The 13,322-nt window shown below is 48.4% G+C and overlaps 1 protein-coding gene across 3 annotated transcripts in view, besides 2 other annotated features; it reads left to right on the plus strand.

The window, feature by feature from the left end:
- Positions 1–10,329, plus strand: part of MUC22 (mucin 22) — a 29,451-nt gene extending 19,122 nt beyond the window's left edge. For all 3 annotated transcript variants that reach the window (NM_001198815.1, NM_001318484.1, NM_001395414.1), the window contains 3 exons: positions 429–5,027; positions 7,123–7,508; positions 9,599–10,329. In NM_001198815.1, the coding sequence (NP_001185744.1) occupies positions 429–5,027; positions 7,123–7,508; positions 9,599–9,865 (5,252 nt within the window). In that variant the 3' untranslated portion in view covers positions 9,866–10,329. The remainder of the gene's footprint in view (positions 1–428; positions 5,028–7,122; positions 7,509–9,598) is intronic.
- Positions 4,361–4,861: an enhancer, noted in NCBI's record as "H3K27ac hESC enhancer chr6:30997211-30997711 (GRCh37/hg19 assembly coordinates)". NCBI's record gives its function as "activates a minimal SCP1, AML or CMV promoter by ChIP-STARR-seq in primed H9 embryonic stem cells {active_cell/tissue: H9 hESC(primed)}" and the evidence as "EXISTENCE:reporter gene assay evidence [ECO:0000049][PMID:30033119]".
- Positions 12,699–12,993: a silencer, noted in NCBI's record as "tiled region #1306; K562 Repressive non-DNase unmatched - State 21:Repr". NCBI's record gives its function as "represses a minimal TATA promoter and a strong SV40 promoter by Sharpr-MPRA in K562 cells {active_cell/tissue: K562}" and the evidence as "EXISTENCE:reporter gene assay evidence [ECO:0000049][PMID:27701403]".

Genomic DNA, 13,322 nt, shown 5'->3' on the forward strand with positions numbered 1-13,322 from the left:
GGTCAGGCTGGTCTTGAACTCCCGGCCTCAGGTGATCCGCCTGGGATTACAGGCTTGAGCCACTGCGCCCAGCCCAAATGGCTGCCTTCTTATCCTTCAGATCTCAGTTCATATGTCAGTTCCTCAGAGAGACCTTTTCTGACTCCAGTATCTAAAGCAGCACCACTGCTTTCTTTAACAGCACTTAAGCCAATGTGTATTTATATTTTATGTTGTAGCTCTCTTCTTTACTAAATTATAAGCCCATATCCCTTTTGCTGACAGGAGTATGCCCAGAGTTTAGTAAAATACCAGGTACATGTTAAGCCCTCAATAACTGAATAAATAAATGAATAAGAAGTACTGAGTATATGTGAAAGTAACACTATACTAAACCTGCAAATTCATCTTTAACCCATTCCCACCACCTTATTTGTTCTCCACCTCAGGCTCTGAGAATACCACAGCCTTCACAAAAGGCTCCGACACCACCACAGCCTCCATCACAGGCTCTGAGACCACCATGGCCTCCACCATGGCCTCTACTTCGGCCTTAACTACAGGCTCTAAGATCACCACAGACTCTACCACAGGCTCTGAGACAACCTCAGCCTCCACCATGGCTTCTACTGCAGCCTTCACCACAGGCTCTGAGACCAACACGGCCTCCACCACAGACTCAGGGACTACTATAGCCTCCACTAGGACCTTCACCACAGGCTCTGACACAACCACAGGCTCCACTGCAGGCTCTGAAACTATCGTGGCCTCCACCACAGTCTCTGGGACCACAACAACCTTTACTATAGCCTCCACTACAGTCCCTGAGACTACCATGGCCTCCAGCACAACCTCCACTGCAGGCTCTGAGAAAACGATGGCCTCCTCCATAATTTCTGAGACCACCATGGCCTCCACCACAGGCTCTGAGACTGCCACAGTCTCTACCACAGGCTCTGAGACCACCACCACCTCCACTGCAAGCTCTGAGGCCACTAAAGTCTCTACCACAGGCTCTGAAACCACCACAGCATCTACTGCAGGTTCTGAGACCACCACTACCTCCACCTCCATGGCAGGCTCTGAGGCCACCACAACCTCAACTGCAGACTCCAAGGTGATCACGGCATCCAGCATGAGCTCTGAGACCACTGTGGCCCCCGCTGCAGGCTCTAACACCACCACAGCCTCTACCACAGGCTCTGAGACCACTACAATCCTGATTAAAGCCTCTGAGACCACCACAGCCTCTACAGCAGGTTCTGAGACCACCACCCCCTCCCCCACAGGCTCTCAGACCACCATAGTCTCTATTTCAGGTTCTGAGATCACCACCACCTCTACGGCAGGATCCGAGAACACCACAGTCTCTAGTGCAGGCTCTGGGACCACCACAGCTTCTATGGCAGGCTCTGAGACCACCGTCTCCACTGCAGGCTCTGAGACCACTACAGTCTCTATCACAGGCACTGAGACCACCATGGTCTCTGCCATGGGCTCAGAGACCACCACAAACTCTACTACAAGCTCTGAGACCACCGTCACCTCTACTGCAGGCTCTGAGACCACCACAGTCTCCACCGTGGGCTCTGAGACCACCACAGCCTATACTGCAGATTCTGAGACCACTGCAGCCTCTACCACAGGCTCTGAGATGACCACAGTCTTCACTGCAGGCTCGGAAACCATCACACCCTCTACTGCAGGCTCAGAGACCACCACAGTCTCTACTGCAGGCTCTGAGACCACTACAGTCTCCACCACAGGCTCTGAGACCACAACAGCCTCTACTGCACATTCTGAGACGACTGCAGCCTCCACCATGGGCTCTGAGACCACCAAAGTCTCAACTGCAGGCTCTGAGACCACAGTCTCCACTGCAGGCTCTGAGACCACTGCAGCCTCTACTGAAGATTCTGAAACCAACACAGCATTTACTGAAGATTCTAAGACTACCACAGCCTCTACTACAGGGTTTGAGACAACCGCAGCCTCTACTACAGGCTCTGAGCCTACCATGGCATCCACCATGGGCTCTGAGACCACTATGGCCTCTACCATAGGCCCTGAGACCACCAAGGTCTCCACTGCAAGCTCTGAGGTGACCACAGTCTTTGCTGCAGGCTCTGAGACAATCAGAGCCTCTACCGTAGGCTCTGAGACCACCACAGTCTCTACCACAGGCTCTGAGACCACCACAGCCTCCATCATGGGCTCTGAGACCAGCACAGATTCTACCACAGGCTCTGAGACCACCACAGCCTCTACTGAAGGCTCTGAGACCACCACAGCTTCCACTGAAGGCTCTGAGGCCACTACAGTCTCCACCACAGGCTCTGAGACCACTACAGTTTCTATCACAGACTCAGAGACCACCACCACCTGTACTGAAGGCTCTGAGATGACTGCAGTCTCCACCACAGTCTTTGAGACCACTACAGCCTCTACTGAAGGCTCTGAGATCACAATAGCCTCTACTTCAGACTCTGAGACCACCACAGCTTCTACTGAAGGTTCTGAGACCACTACAGTCACTACCGCAGGCTCTGAGACCAAAACAGCCTATACTACAGGCTCTGAGACCACCACAGCCTCTAATACAGGCTTGGAGACCACCACAGTCTTTACCATAGGCTCTGACACCACCACAGCCTCTACTGAAGGCTCTGAGACCACTGCAGTCTCTGCCACAGGCTCTGAGATGACCACAGTCTCTACTGAAGGCTCTGAGAACACTACAGTCTCCACCACAGGCTCTGAGACCACTACAGTTTCCACCACAGGCTTGGAGACCACCACCACTTCCACTGAAGGCTCTGAGATGACTACAGTCTCCACCACAGGTGCTGAGACCACCACAGACTCTACTGAAGGCTCTGGGACCACTGCAGCCTCCACTGCAGGCTCTGAGACCACCACAGTCTCTACTGCAGATTCTGAGAACACCACAGCATCTACTGCAGATTCTGAGACCACCTCAGCCTCTACTACAGGCTCTGAGACCACCACAGCCTCTACTACAAGCTCTGAGACCACCACAGCCTCTACTGAAGGCTCTGAGACCACTACAGTCTCCACCACAGACTCTGAGACCACCATGGTCTCTACCACAGGCTCTGAGAGGACCATCACCTCTACTGAAGGCTCTGAGACCACTACAGTATCTGCCACAGGCTCTGAGACCACAGTCTCTACTGAAGGCTCTGGGACCACTACAGTCTCCATCACAGGCTCTGAGACCACTAAAGTTTCTACCACAGGTTCAGAGACCACCACCACTTCTACTGAAGGCTCTGAGATTACTACAGCCTCCATCACAGGCTCTGAGACCACCACAGCCTCTACTGAAGGCTCCGAGACCACCACAGCCTCTACTGAAGGCTCCGAGACCACCTCAGCCTCTACTACAGGCTCTGAGACCACCACAGCCTCTACTACAAGCTCTGAGACCACCATGGCATCCATCATGGGCTCTGAGACCACTATGGCCTCTACCATAGGCTCTGAGACCACCAAGGTCTCCACTGCAAGCTCTAAAATGACCACAGTCTTCACTGAAAACTCTGAGACCACCATAGCCTCTACCACAGCCTCTGAGACCACCACAGTCTCCACTGCAGGCTCTGAGACCATCCCAGCCTCTACAGCAGGCTCTGAGACCACCACCACCACCTCTACTGAAGGCTCTGAGACCACTACAGCCTCTACTGAAGGCTCTGAGACCACCACAGCCTCTACTGAAAGCTCTGAGACCACTACAGCCACTACCATAGGCTCTGAGACCACCACAGCCTCTACTGAAGGCTCTGAGACTACCACCACCTCTACTGAAGGCTCTGAGACCACCACAGCCTCTACTGAAGGCTCTGAGATCACTACAGTTTCTACCACAGGCTCTGAGACCACCACAGCCTCTACTGAAGGCTCTGAGACCACCACAGCCTCTACTGAAGGCTCTGAGCTCACTACAGTTTCTACCACAGGCTCTGAGACCATCACAGTCTCTGCTGAAGGCTCTGAGACCACTACAGTCACTACTATGGGCTCTGAGACCACCACGGCCTCTACTGCAGGCTCAGAGACCACCACAGTCTCTACTGCAGGCTCTGAGACCACCACAGCCTCTATTGAAGGCTCTGAGACCACTACAGTCTCCTCCACAGGCTCTGAGACCACCACAGTCTCTACCACAGGCACTGAGACTACCATCACCTCTACTGAAGGTTCAGAGACCACTACAGTCACTACTGCAGGTTCTGAGACCACAGCAGTCTATACCACAGGCTCTGAGACTACCACCACCTCTACTGAAGGCTCTGAGACAACCACAGTCTCTACCACGGGCTCTGAGACCACCACAGCCTCTACCGCAGATTTGGAGACCACCACAGTCTCCACCTCAGGCTCTGGGACCACCACAGCCTCTACCGCAGGCTCTGAGACCACAACAGTCTATATCACAGGCTCTAAGACTACCACCGCCTCTACTGAAGGCTCTGAGGCCACTACAGTTTCTACCACTAGCTCTGAGACCACCACAGCCTCTACCACAGGCTCTGAGATGACTACAGTCTTTACCACAGTCTCTGAGACCACCACAGTCTCTACCATAGGCTCTGAGGCCACCACATCCTCTGCTGCAGGCTCTGAGGCCACCACCACCTCTACTGAAGGCTCTGAGACCACCACAGCCTCCACTGCAGGCTCTGAGACCACCACAGCCTCCACTGCAGGCTCTGAGACCACCACAGCCTCCACTTCAGGCTCTGAGACCAACACAGCCTGTACCACAGGTTCTGAGACCTCCACACCCTCCAGTGCAGGCTCTGAGACCAACACTGCCTTCATCATAGGCTCTGAGAGCACCATAGCTTCCACTGCAAGCTTGGAGCCCACTGCAACTTCCCTCACAGGCTCTGAGACCACCACAGTCTCTATCACAGCTTCTGGGGCCACTGCAGCCTCCACCACTGTCTCTTCCACCACGTTTGTACTCACCAAGGCCACTGACGTTTCTATCCAGCCCATCACCAACACACCTATGTCAGGTACTAACCCCCATGTCTTCTTTGAGCCCACACATTTTAACTCCAGTGGCAACCACCAGCTGTTCACCTGTTTCTATCATCTCTGCCCTGGTTCAAGTCAAGCCAGCACACAGTTAGATATAATTTCCTCTTCTAGGCTGGGCGCGGTGGCTCATGCCTGTAATCCCAGCACATTGGAAGGCTGAGGCGAGCGAATCACGAGATCAGGAGATTGAGACCATCCTGGCTAACACGGTGAAATCCAGTCTCTACTAAAAATACAAAAAATTAGCTGGGCGTGGTGGCGGGCACCTGTAGTCCCAGCTACTCGGAAGGCTGAGGCAGGAGAATGATGTGAATCCGGGAGGTGGAGCTTGCAGTGAGCAGAGATCGCGCCATTGCATTCCAGCCTGGGCGACAGAGCGAGACTCCGTCTCAAAAAAAAAAAAAAAAATGTCCTCTTCTGGAATCCTAATTGCCTCTACTCTGGTCTCACCTCTTTTTTTTTAAGTGCCCACCACTTCCATTGCAATCAGAACCACAATATAGTAAACCACAAGTGCATCATATCTGTCACATCTTCCTCCAGCAAGCCCGCCTCAACTCTACTGGCCCATCACAGTTTTGTGAAATGCTCCCACTTCGGTGCCAAGTAGATTATCTCTATTCAACCAACCATCTGTGACACTGCCACCTCCTATCAATGTATTGACTCTAGACCAGAGGCTGGCAGACCACATTTCATGGGTCAAGTCTCACCTGTTACCTGGTTTTGTAAAGTTTTACTGGAACATAGTCATGCCCATTCATTTATGGTTTGTCTCCAGCTGCTTTTCTGCTTTTCCGTGTATTTGCAACAGAGACAGCCTGGCCCAAAAGCCTAAATTATTTGCTGTTTGGACCTTTACAGAAAAAATTTGGCAACCTTTGCTCCAGTCTGAGACCAAACAATTTTGTTCATTCTCTGGCACTTGCCATCAGCAAGCCGGTTACATCTGATTCTATCCTCTTGGTTCTAAGCATACTCACTTCTATTCTCATGACTGGTGCTGTTTGTGATCCCATTTTAACCACTTCTGACCTAGGCACACCCATCGCTACCTAAGCCGCCACCACCGCCTCTGCTGTGTTGATTCGTGCTCACACCTGTCTGAGCCCACCCTCTCCTATCCCTGTGAGCAGCCTTCTCCACTTGGGTCAGGTCCTCCTACATCTGCCCAAGCACACTCACCTCACCTTTGCTGATCACCACAGTGTGGTAGATGATGTCACCTCTGTCCCAGCCACGGCCACTGGCATGCCCATGAGTGAATCCAATTCTACCATCTCCTCCTCCAGCTCCCTCCTTACACCCAGTGATCACAGTCACAAAAGAAGCAGGGCCTGCCGCTTTGTATACCAGCCCACCCACTTATTTGATCTGCTTTGATTTATTTATTTTCAATTTTTTCCATAAGTTATTGGGATGCAGGTGGTATTTGGTTATATGAATAAGTTCTTTAGTGGTGATTTGTGAGATTTTGGTGCACCCATCACCCTAGTAGTATACACTGCACCATATTTGAAGTCTTTTATCCCTCGCCCCCTCCCACTCTTCCCCCAAAGTCCCCAAAGTCCATTGCATCATTCTTATGTCTTCGTATTTCCATAGCTTAGCTCCCACATATCAGTGAGAACATACGATGTTCGGTTTTCCATTCCTGAGTTACTTCACTTAGAAGAATAGTCTAAAATCTCATCCAGGTCACTGCAAATGCTGTTAATTCATTCATTTTTATCAGCCCACCCTCTTCTATTTGGGTGGCCACTTCTGAAGTCAAATAGATCTTCCACTTCTGAACCCATCGCGATAACGTTTCCTCAAACTTCTGCCTCCTCCATCACCAACTCCACCAGGTGACACATTCTACCTCCTTCTCTGTATGACACCCACCTGCATTCTGGGGACATGGCCACAGCAGAATCGCTTTCTACCATCTCTCCTCCCCCACCACACCTCTCCTGAGCCACCTCCACCATAGGTTTGTTAGATTCACCCTCCTCTGGTCTAAGCACCCCCATTCCCCTTTAATCATCTCTGCTACAAATGCATCATCTTGTGTGACCTGTTTCATAGGCACCAGAACCACTGGAACCAGACTCACTGCCTCCAGCTCTGTCACCATGGCCCCTGGAATGGACTTCACGGCCTCTGCTGCCAGCCATACTGTGCCAGGAATAGTCTTAAACACCTCTGGCCTGGGTACATCCACTATGGGAGCATCATCTACCACCTCAGCCCACGGCGTCAGGACCACCACAGGATCCACCCGTGAGCCAACCAGCAGCACCTTCCAGGAAACAGGCCCGGTGTCCATGGGCACAAACACAGTTAGCATGAGCCACACACCCACAAACGTGATCAAACCAAGTGGATATTTACAGCCCTGGGCTATCATCCTCATTTCCCTGGCTGCAGTTGTGGCTGCTGTTGGATTGTCAGTAGGACTGAGTTTTTGTCTGGTGAGTACCCAGGGTGGGTTCATAGGGGAGCCTGGCAAGAAGGCAGGGGGGAATCATGTCAGCAGTGCTTTGGAAAAATCCAGAATGAGAAAGGGGAGTAAGTTGGTGCGCTCAGAAGGAAAGAATCACCTAGCCTGATATAAGGACCAGAGAGAATGCTTAAGTCAGAGAAAGTGAGAAGCAAAGTAGAAAAAGAGGAGGGAAAAGATGGAGTTGGGGCCAAAGTGAAGGGAAATACTGACAGAACAAGGGAAATACTGAGAGAGAACAAGGAGGACATAAACATAAAGAAAGCAAGAAGCAGCTGGGCGCAGTGGCTCACCCCTGTAATTCCAGCACTTTGGAAGGCCAAGGAGGGCGGATCACTTGAGTCCAGGCATTTGAGACCAGCCTGGCCAACATGGTGAAACTTGTCTTTACTAAAAATACAAAAATTAGTCGAGAGTGGTAGCATGGACCTGTAGTCCCAGCTACTTTGGAGGCTGAGGCACGAGAATTGCTTGAACCTGGGAGATGGAGGTTGCAGTGAGCAGAGATCGTGCCACTGCACTCCAGCCTGAGTGACAGAGCAAGATCCTGTCTCGAAAGGAAGGAAGAAAGAAAAGAAAGGTAGGAAGGAAGGAAGGAGAGAGAGAGAGAAAAAGAGAAAGAATGAGGAAGAAAGGAAGAAAGCAAGAAAGAGAAAGAAAGGAAGAAAGAAAGAAAGAAACTGAGAGAGAAAGAGAAAGAAAAAAGAAAGAAGGAAAGAAAGAGAGAGAGAAATAGAGAAAAGAAAGAAGCATAAAAATGTTCAGCCATCCAAAATGCGGGCTTCCGATTGTCTCATGTATGACAAATTTCTGGTCCTCACAGCAATTCCTTGTGTGGCCTGTGACTGTTACTCTCTGACCTCCCACTCCATCTCTGCTCTCTGGTCTTGATTGTTCTTTGAATACATATTTTTCTTACATCGATTTCACATTTATTGATGTTCTTCCTGTTTTCTTGTGATCCTGCGGGTAAGTTACCATTTGAGGAGTGAAGCAGAGTATAAATCAGTGGTGTGCTGGAGCTGGCTCATCCTGGCCCACAAGAGATTGTGCAGTTCTTCCCAATTCTGAGCTGAGTGATGTGACACTGGTAGCTTAAAATATGCTGGGTTGGAAATACTTACACCACAGCAATTGTCAAACACTACAAATCAGCACTTTTCCCTCGGAGAGCCTGTTATTAAGTGTTGGACAGCATACCACTGGTAAAAATGGACAAAATGAAAAATACGGAAGTCACAAAAGATTTGGATAATATAGTCAATTTGCTGAGGTTCTTTGTTTTAGAATTCTCAGCCTCTCTCCGTATGTGGACTACATAATAAATACCAGCATCTAAGAATTACTCCCTAAATTACTTTATTATTTCATTTGCAAGATCAAGAGAGAATAACGAAAGTGAACATTGAGTTTTTACTGCCTGCTAGGCTCAAGGCTGAATGTTTAAAATGCATAATGTTATTTAATCTGGCCTACAATCCCGTGGCCATATTATATTCATCTTACAAGTAAGGGATCTGGAGCTTCATGATCTTAGCTATTTGCCCCAGCACATGTAGTGAGTGGCAGATATAAGACTCTAACTCAGGTTAGTTGGATTCTGGAGTTCATGCCTATAATCTCAAGGCTCTGTGTAGACAGCTTTCTAGAGCTCTCAATTCCACGTACCTGTTCTGAGCTTTCTTAGCTGACTAACAAAGAGAAAGACTGTCTGTAAAGTGAGTCTCTGTGCCTTTCACATAGGGGTATGGATTTACCTTTGTCTTGGAAGTCCAAAAACACATAACCTTATGATCTGCAGAGCTAGGGCCTGAGTACGCACATAAAGATGATATGTTAATAAGGTAACAAGGAAGCTTATTTTGTCAGACGGAGAAAGAGTAAAAGAACAAGGAAAAAGAGAGACAGAGACAGAGATCATAGTAAGGATGGTGGTAAAGAGAAGAGAACATGGGCAGTTTGGAAAAGTGAAAATCTGACATTGGTGAAACAGGCATGTATGGTGATTAGGGAGAGGAGACTTAATTTTCATTTATCAATGTATTTATTTTTTTCTTTTAGAGAAACCTTTTCTTCCCCCTGAGATATTGTGGTATTTATTACCCCCATGGCCACAGCCACAGCCTTGGTCTGGACCTGAACTTGGGCCTGGGCTCTGGGACATTCCACAGCCTGGGAAATGCACTGGTTCATGGAGGAGAACTTGAAATGGGACATGGAGGAACACACGGCTTTGGATATGGAGTGGGCCATGGACTGAGCCACATCCATGGAGATGGCTACGGAGTGAATCATGGCGGGCATTATGGACATGGAGGAGGCCACTGAGGACACCATGGAGTGGATCACAGAGGGAGCCACCAAGGAGGCCACGGCAGGACAAGATGGCTGTGGCCATAGATTGGGTATCAAAACATATTATGGGTGGGAGGGGGTCATGGAGGAGAAAAAAATAATGATCATGAAATAATTAAAATGGAGCATAGGAAGCTTCCCAGGATGTGATCCATGGAGATGGACATGGACTAGGTCAAGAAAAGAACCAGCAAAAGGACCTCAGAGACTTTGACTGGCTTGGAGGGGACTTCAAGTCAAAGCTTCTGTGAGTTTTTCCTGAGTCTCAGCCTCTGTTGTGGGGAGTCACGACAACCACCCTCAGGACATCTTCTCTCCCATTTCCCGCCACATCAGGGTCAACGTTTCTCATCCCTGTGTTTCCTCATGGTGCTATAAATATTACCAAGACATGTCTAAGAAACAAAAGCACATAATGAATGTATTATCAGGGCCACACACGTATTCGTTTTCCTGTTTGTTCTTTCAGGTTTTGTTTTTTTTTTTTTTTTTTGAGTGCTTATTATGTACCAATCACTATCCCAGGAGCCTTTAAATACGTCATCATTTGGCTGGGTGTGGTGGCTCACGCCTGTAATCCCAGCACTTTGGGAGGCCAATGCGGGTGGATCACTTGAGGTCAGGAGTTCGAGACCAGCCTGGCCAACATGGTGAAACCCCGTCTCTACTAAATAAATACAAAAATCAGCCAGGCGTGGTGGCGAGTGCCTATAATCCCAGCTACTCGGGATGCTGAGGCAGGAGAATCGGTTGAATCTGGGAGGTGGAGGTTGCAGTGAGGCGAGATTGTGCCACTGCACTCCAGCCTGGGCGACAGAGGAAGACTCTGTCTCAAAAAAAAAAAAAAGGTCATCATTTAATCCTCAGAAAATATCTTGGTGACCTTGAGGTAGGCAAAGATACTTAGATACTTAAGCAAGACACAAAAAGCACTAGCTATTAAAAGAAAGTGTGATGATTTGGACTTCATTAAAGCCTAGTATCAGCATATACCTTTAAGAGGTATATTCTTAACTATAAAAGGAAAGTCAAAGATGGGAGAAGATATTGCAACACATATAGCTAACAAACGACTCATATCCAGAATGCAGAAAGAGCTACAATAAGAAAAAGATGATGCAATTTTAAATTGGGCAAAATATTTGATAAATAGTTAGCAAAAGAGGATATCAAAACAGCCGGTGAACATTTGAAAAGGTACCCAATATCACTGCTTATCAGAAGTGGAATGTAAAACCGCAATGAGATACCACTACATACACACACTGTAATGACTAGCATTTGAAAGACTGCCAGTACCAAGTATTGGAAAGGACATTGAACAACTGGAACTCTCACACATTGTTAGTGGGAGTGTAAATTGATACAATTATCTTGGGAAAATGTTTGGCAATGCTAAAATTAAACACATACCCTATGACTCGGTACTTCCACTCCTGAGAGTAAATATCCAGCAGAAATGAATACCTGTGTCCACCAAAAGACATGTACCATGCCAGCTTCATTCATACCACTGCAGGGTGGAAATTTAACCCCAAAGTCCACTAACATTAGAACAGGTAAGTAAATTGTGACATATTCATGCAGTGGAATGCTACCCAGTAGTGAAAAAAAAAACCTATGAAATCACACAATAACATTAATGAATCTCATAGTCAGTGTTGAGTAAAAGAAGTCAAAACAAAAGTGTACCTACTGTATAATTCCATTCACATGCAGTTCAAGGCCATGTGACATTAACCTGTTGTAATAAAGGTCAGAGTTGAGGATGCCTTGGGGGAAAAGGCTGACCGGGAGAAGGCATGAGAAAGCCTTCTTGCAGGGGCAGACAGGGGAAGCTGAGAATGTTCTGTGTATGATCTGGGTGGTGATTACAAGGGTGTATAGATATGTAAAACTTCATTAAAATGTGCACATGAGATCTGTGCACTTTATGGTATGTAAGTTATGTCTCAATTTGAAAAATGAAAAAGATATTCTGAGGCTATTTTCTCAGCATATTATGATTTCCTTGGTCAGAGAATGTGGTTGGAGACACATGACGATAAATGAGGCATTTGGTAAGCCCAAAGACAGTGGTGCTGCAGGAAGCATTGTGTGCAAGGGAGGCAAGCAGCTATTTTCAATGAGGACAAATCACCTCTCTCTTTAGGTTGAAATAGGTCTGATATAATTAATCTGCCATTCTCTCTGGAGAATGGTGCCACATAACGGGGCCAACACTGATCTCTGCTGTTAGCAGTTGAGGCACTCAGCCATGGATTATCTGTCCAGCTTGGCCTTGGTGAGGGGAAGGCCAGCTCACTGAGCCTTGCATACGCTTCATCCCTGCCAGCCTGTCTGCTTTGTCCATGTCCCTGCTGAGCGAGCACTAGAGCAGCTGGAAAAAGAGATTGGCTGACGTCTGCAGAATGGATCGCTTGGTCAACCTCATCATGGAAGATTTCCTCTGTAGTGAACGCCCATTGGTGAACAGTCACATGGGATGCACATACTCTCACCATCTGTGCCCTTCCCAAGAGACTCGTCCACCTTCCTCTTTCCCAGACTTCCTTGTCATCAATTCACCATGTCTTTCCTCACCCTGAGTTATCTAGCCAAACTGTTAGCCACTGCCTATTGATCAGGGTTAACTGTAACTGGTCATCTCTTTGCCCAGGCAAAGTAAACAAAGCAGATGCATTCTTTACAATTCGGATCACTGGGAGAATTTTCCTTCCCCACTGTCCTGCAGGGCTGCCGTGAGTGGGGTGGTAATGCTGCAGCAGCCTGCTCTCTGTGGTGTTAGAATAGCATGCAGAACCACCCACACACCAGAGGAAACCAAATCTTTCCTTTCTCAGTCAACTAGACATAGGAAACCCTTCATGTGACTGTGATTATGGAGAGAGAGGTTAGGAATGTAGCTGGAGATGCCACTGGAGTTACAGCTGCCTACTCATGCCTCTTACTTGTGCCTTGAGGAACTAACTCAGCCAAATTCGCAGGCACCACTTCCATTCAAGGAGGTGAGCACTGCTAAGTATGCCCAGTCTAGTGTGGTGGTGCAGACAACACCCAGTTCATAAAGGGCAGCTCATGTTTCATGAACCCTCGCATGCTGAGGACCCAAGATTAAGTCAGATGCTAGGATGTGGAAGAGGGCTTGCTTTTGCTCCAAAACTCTGGGGACCTGTGCCGTGGCTCTTCTACTAGCTACCCAGTGTCTCCACACAGCTTTCTGATGTACCACAGACATTTTAGGCAACATTGGATCTAGTCAGCAATGTCTCAAGCAGCCTTATGGCCTTGCTTTGGTTCCCACTTGAAAGTGGGGAAATATGCGCAGACGGAGCCTAGAGATGAACTTTGAGTAAGATGTTATTTATGTTCTTTTTTTTTTGAGATGGAGTCTTGCTCTGTCGCCCAGGCTGGAATAGTGGCACGATCT

Source organism: Homo sapiens, chromosome 6 (genome assembly GCF_000001405.40).
Source record: "Homo sapiens chromosome 6, GRCh38.p14 Primary Assembly".
Lineage (NCBI taxonomy): Eukaryota > Metazoa > Chordata > Mammalia > Primates > Hominidae > Homo > Homo sapiens.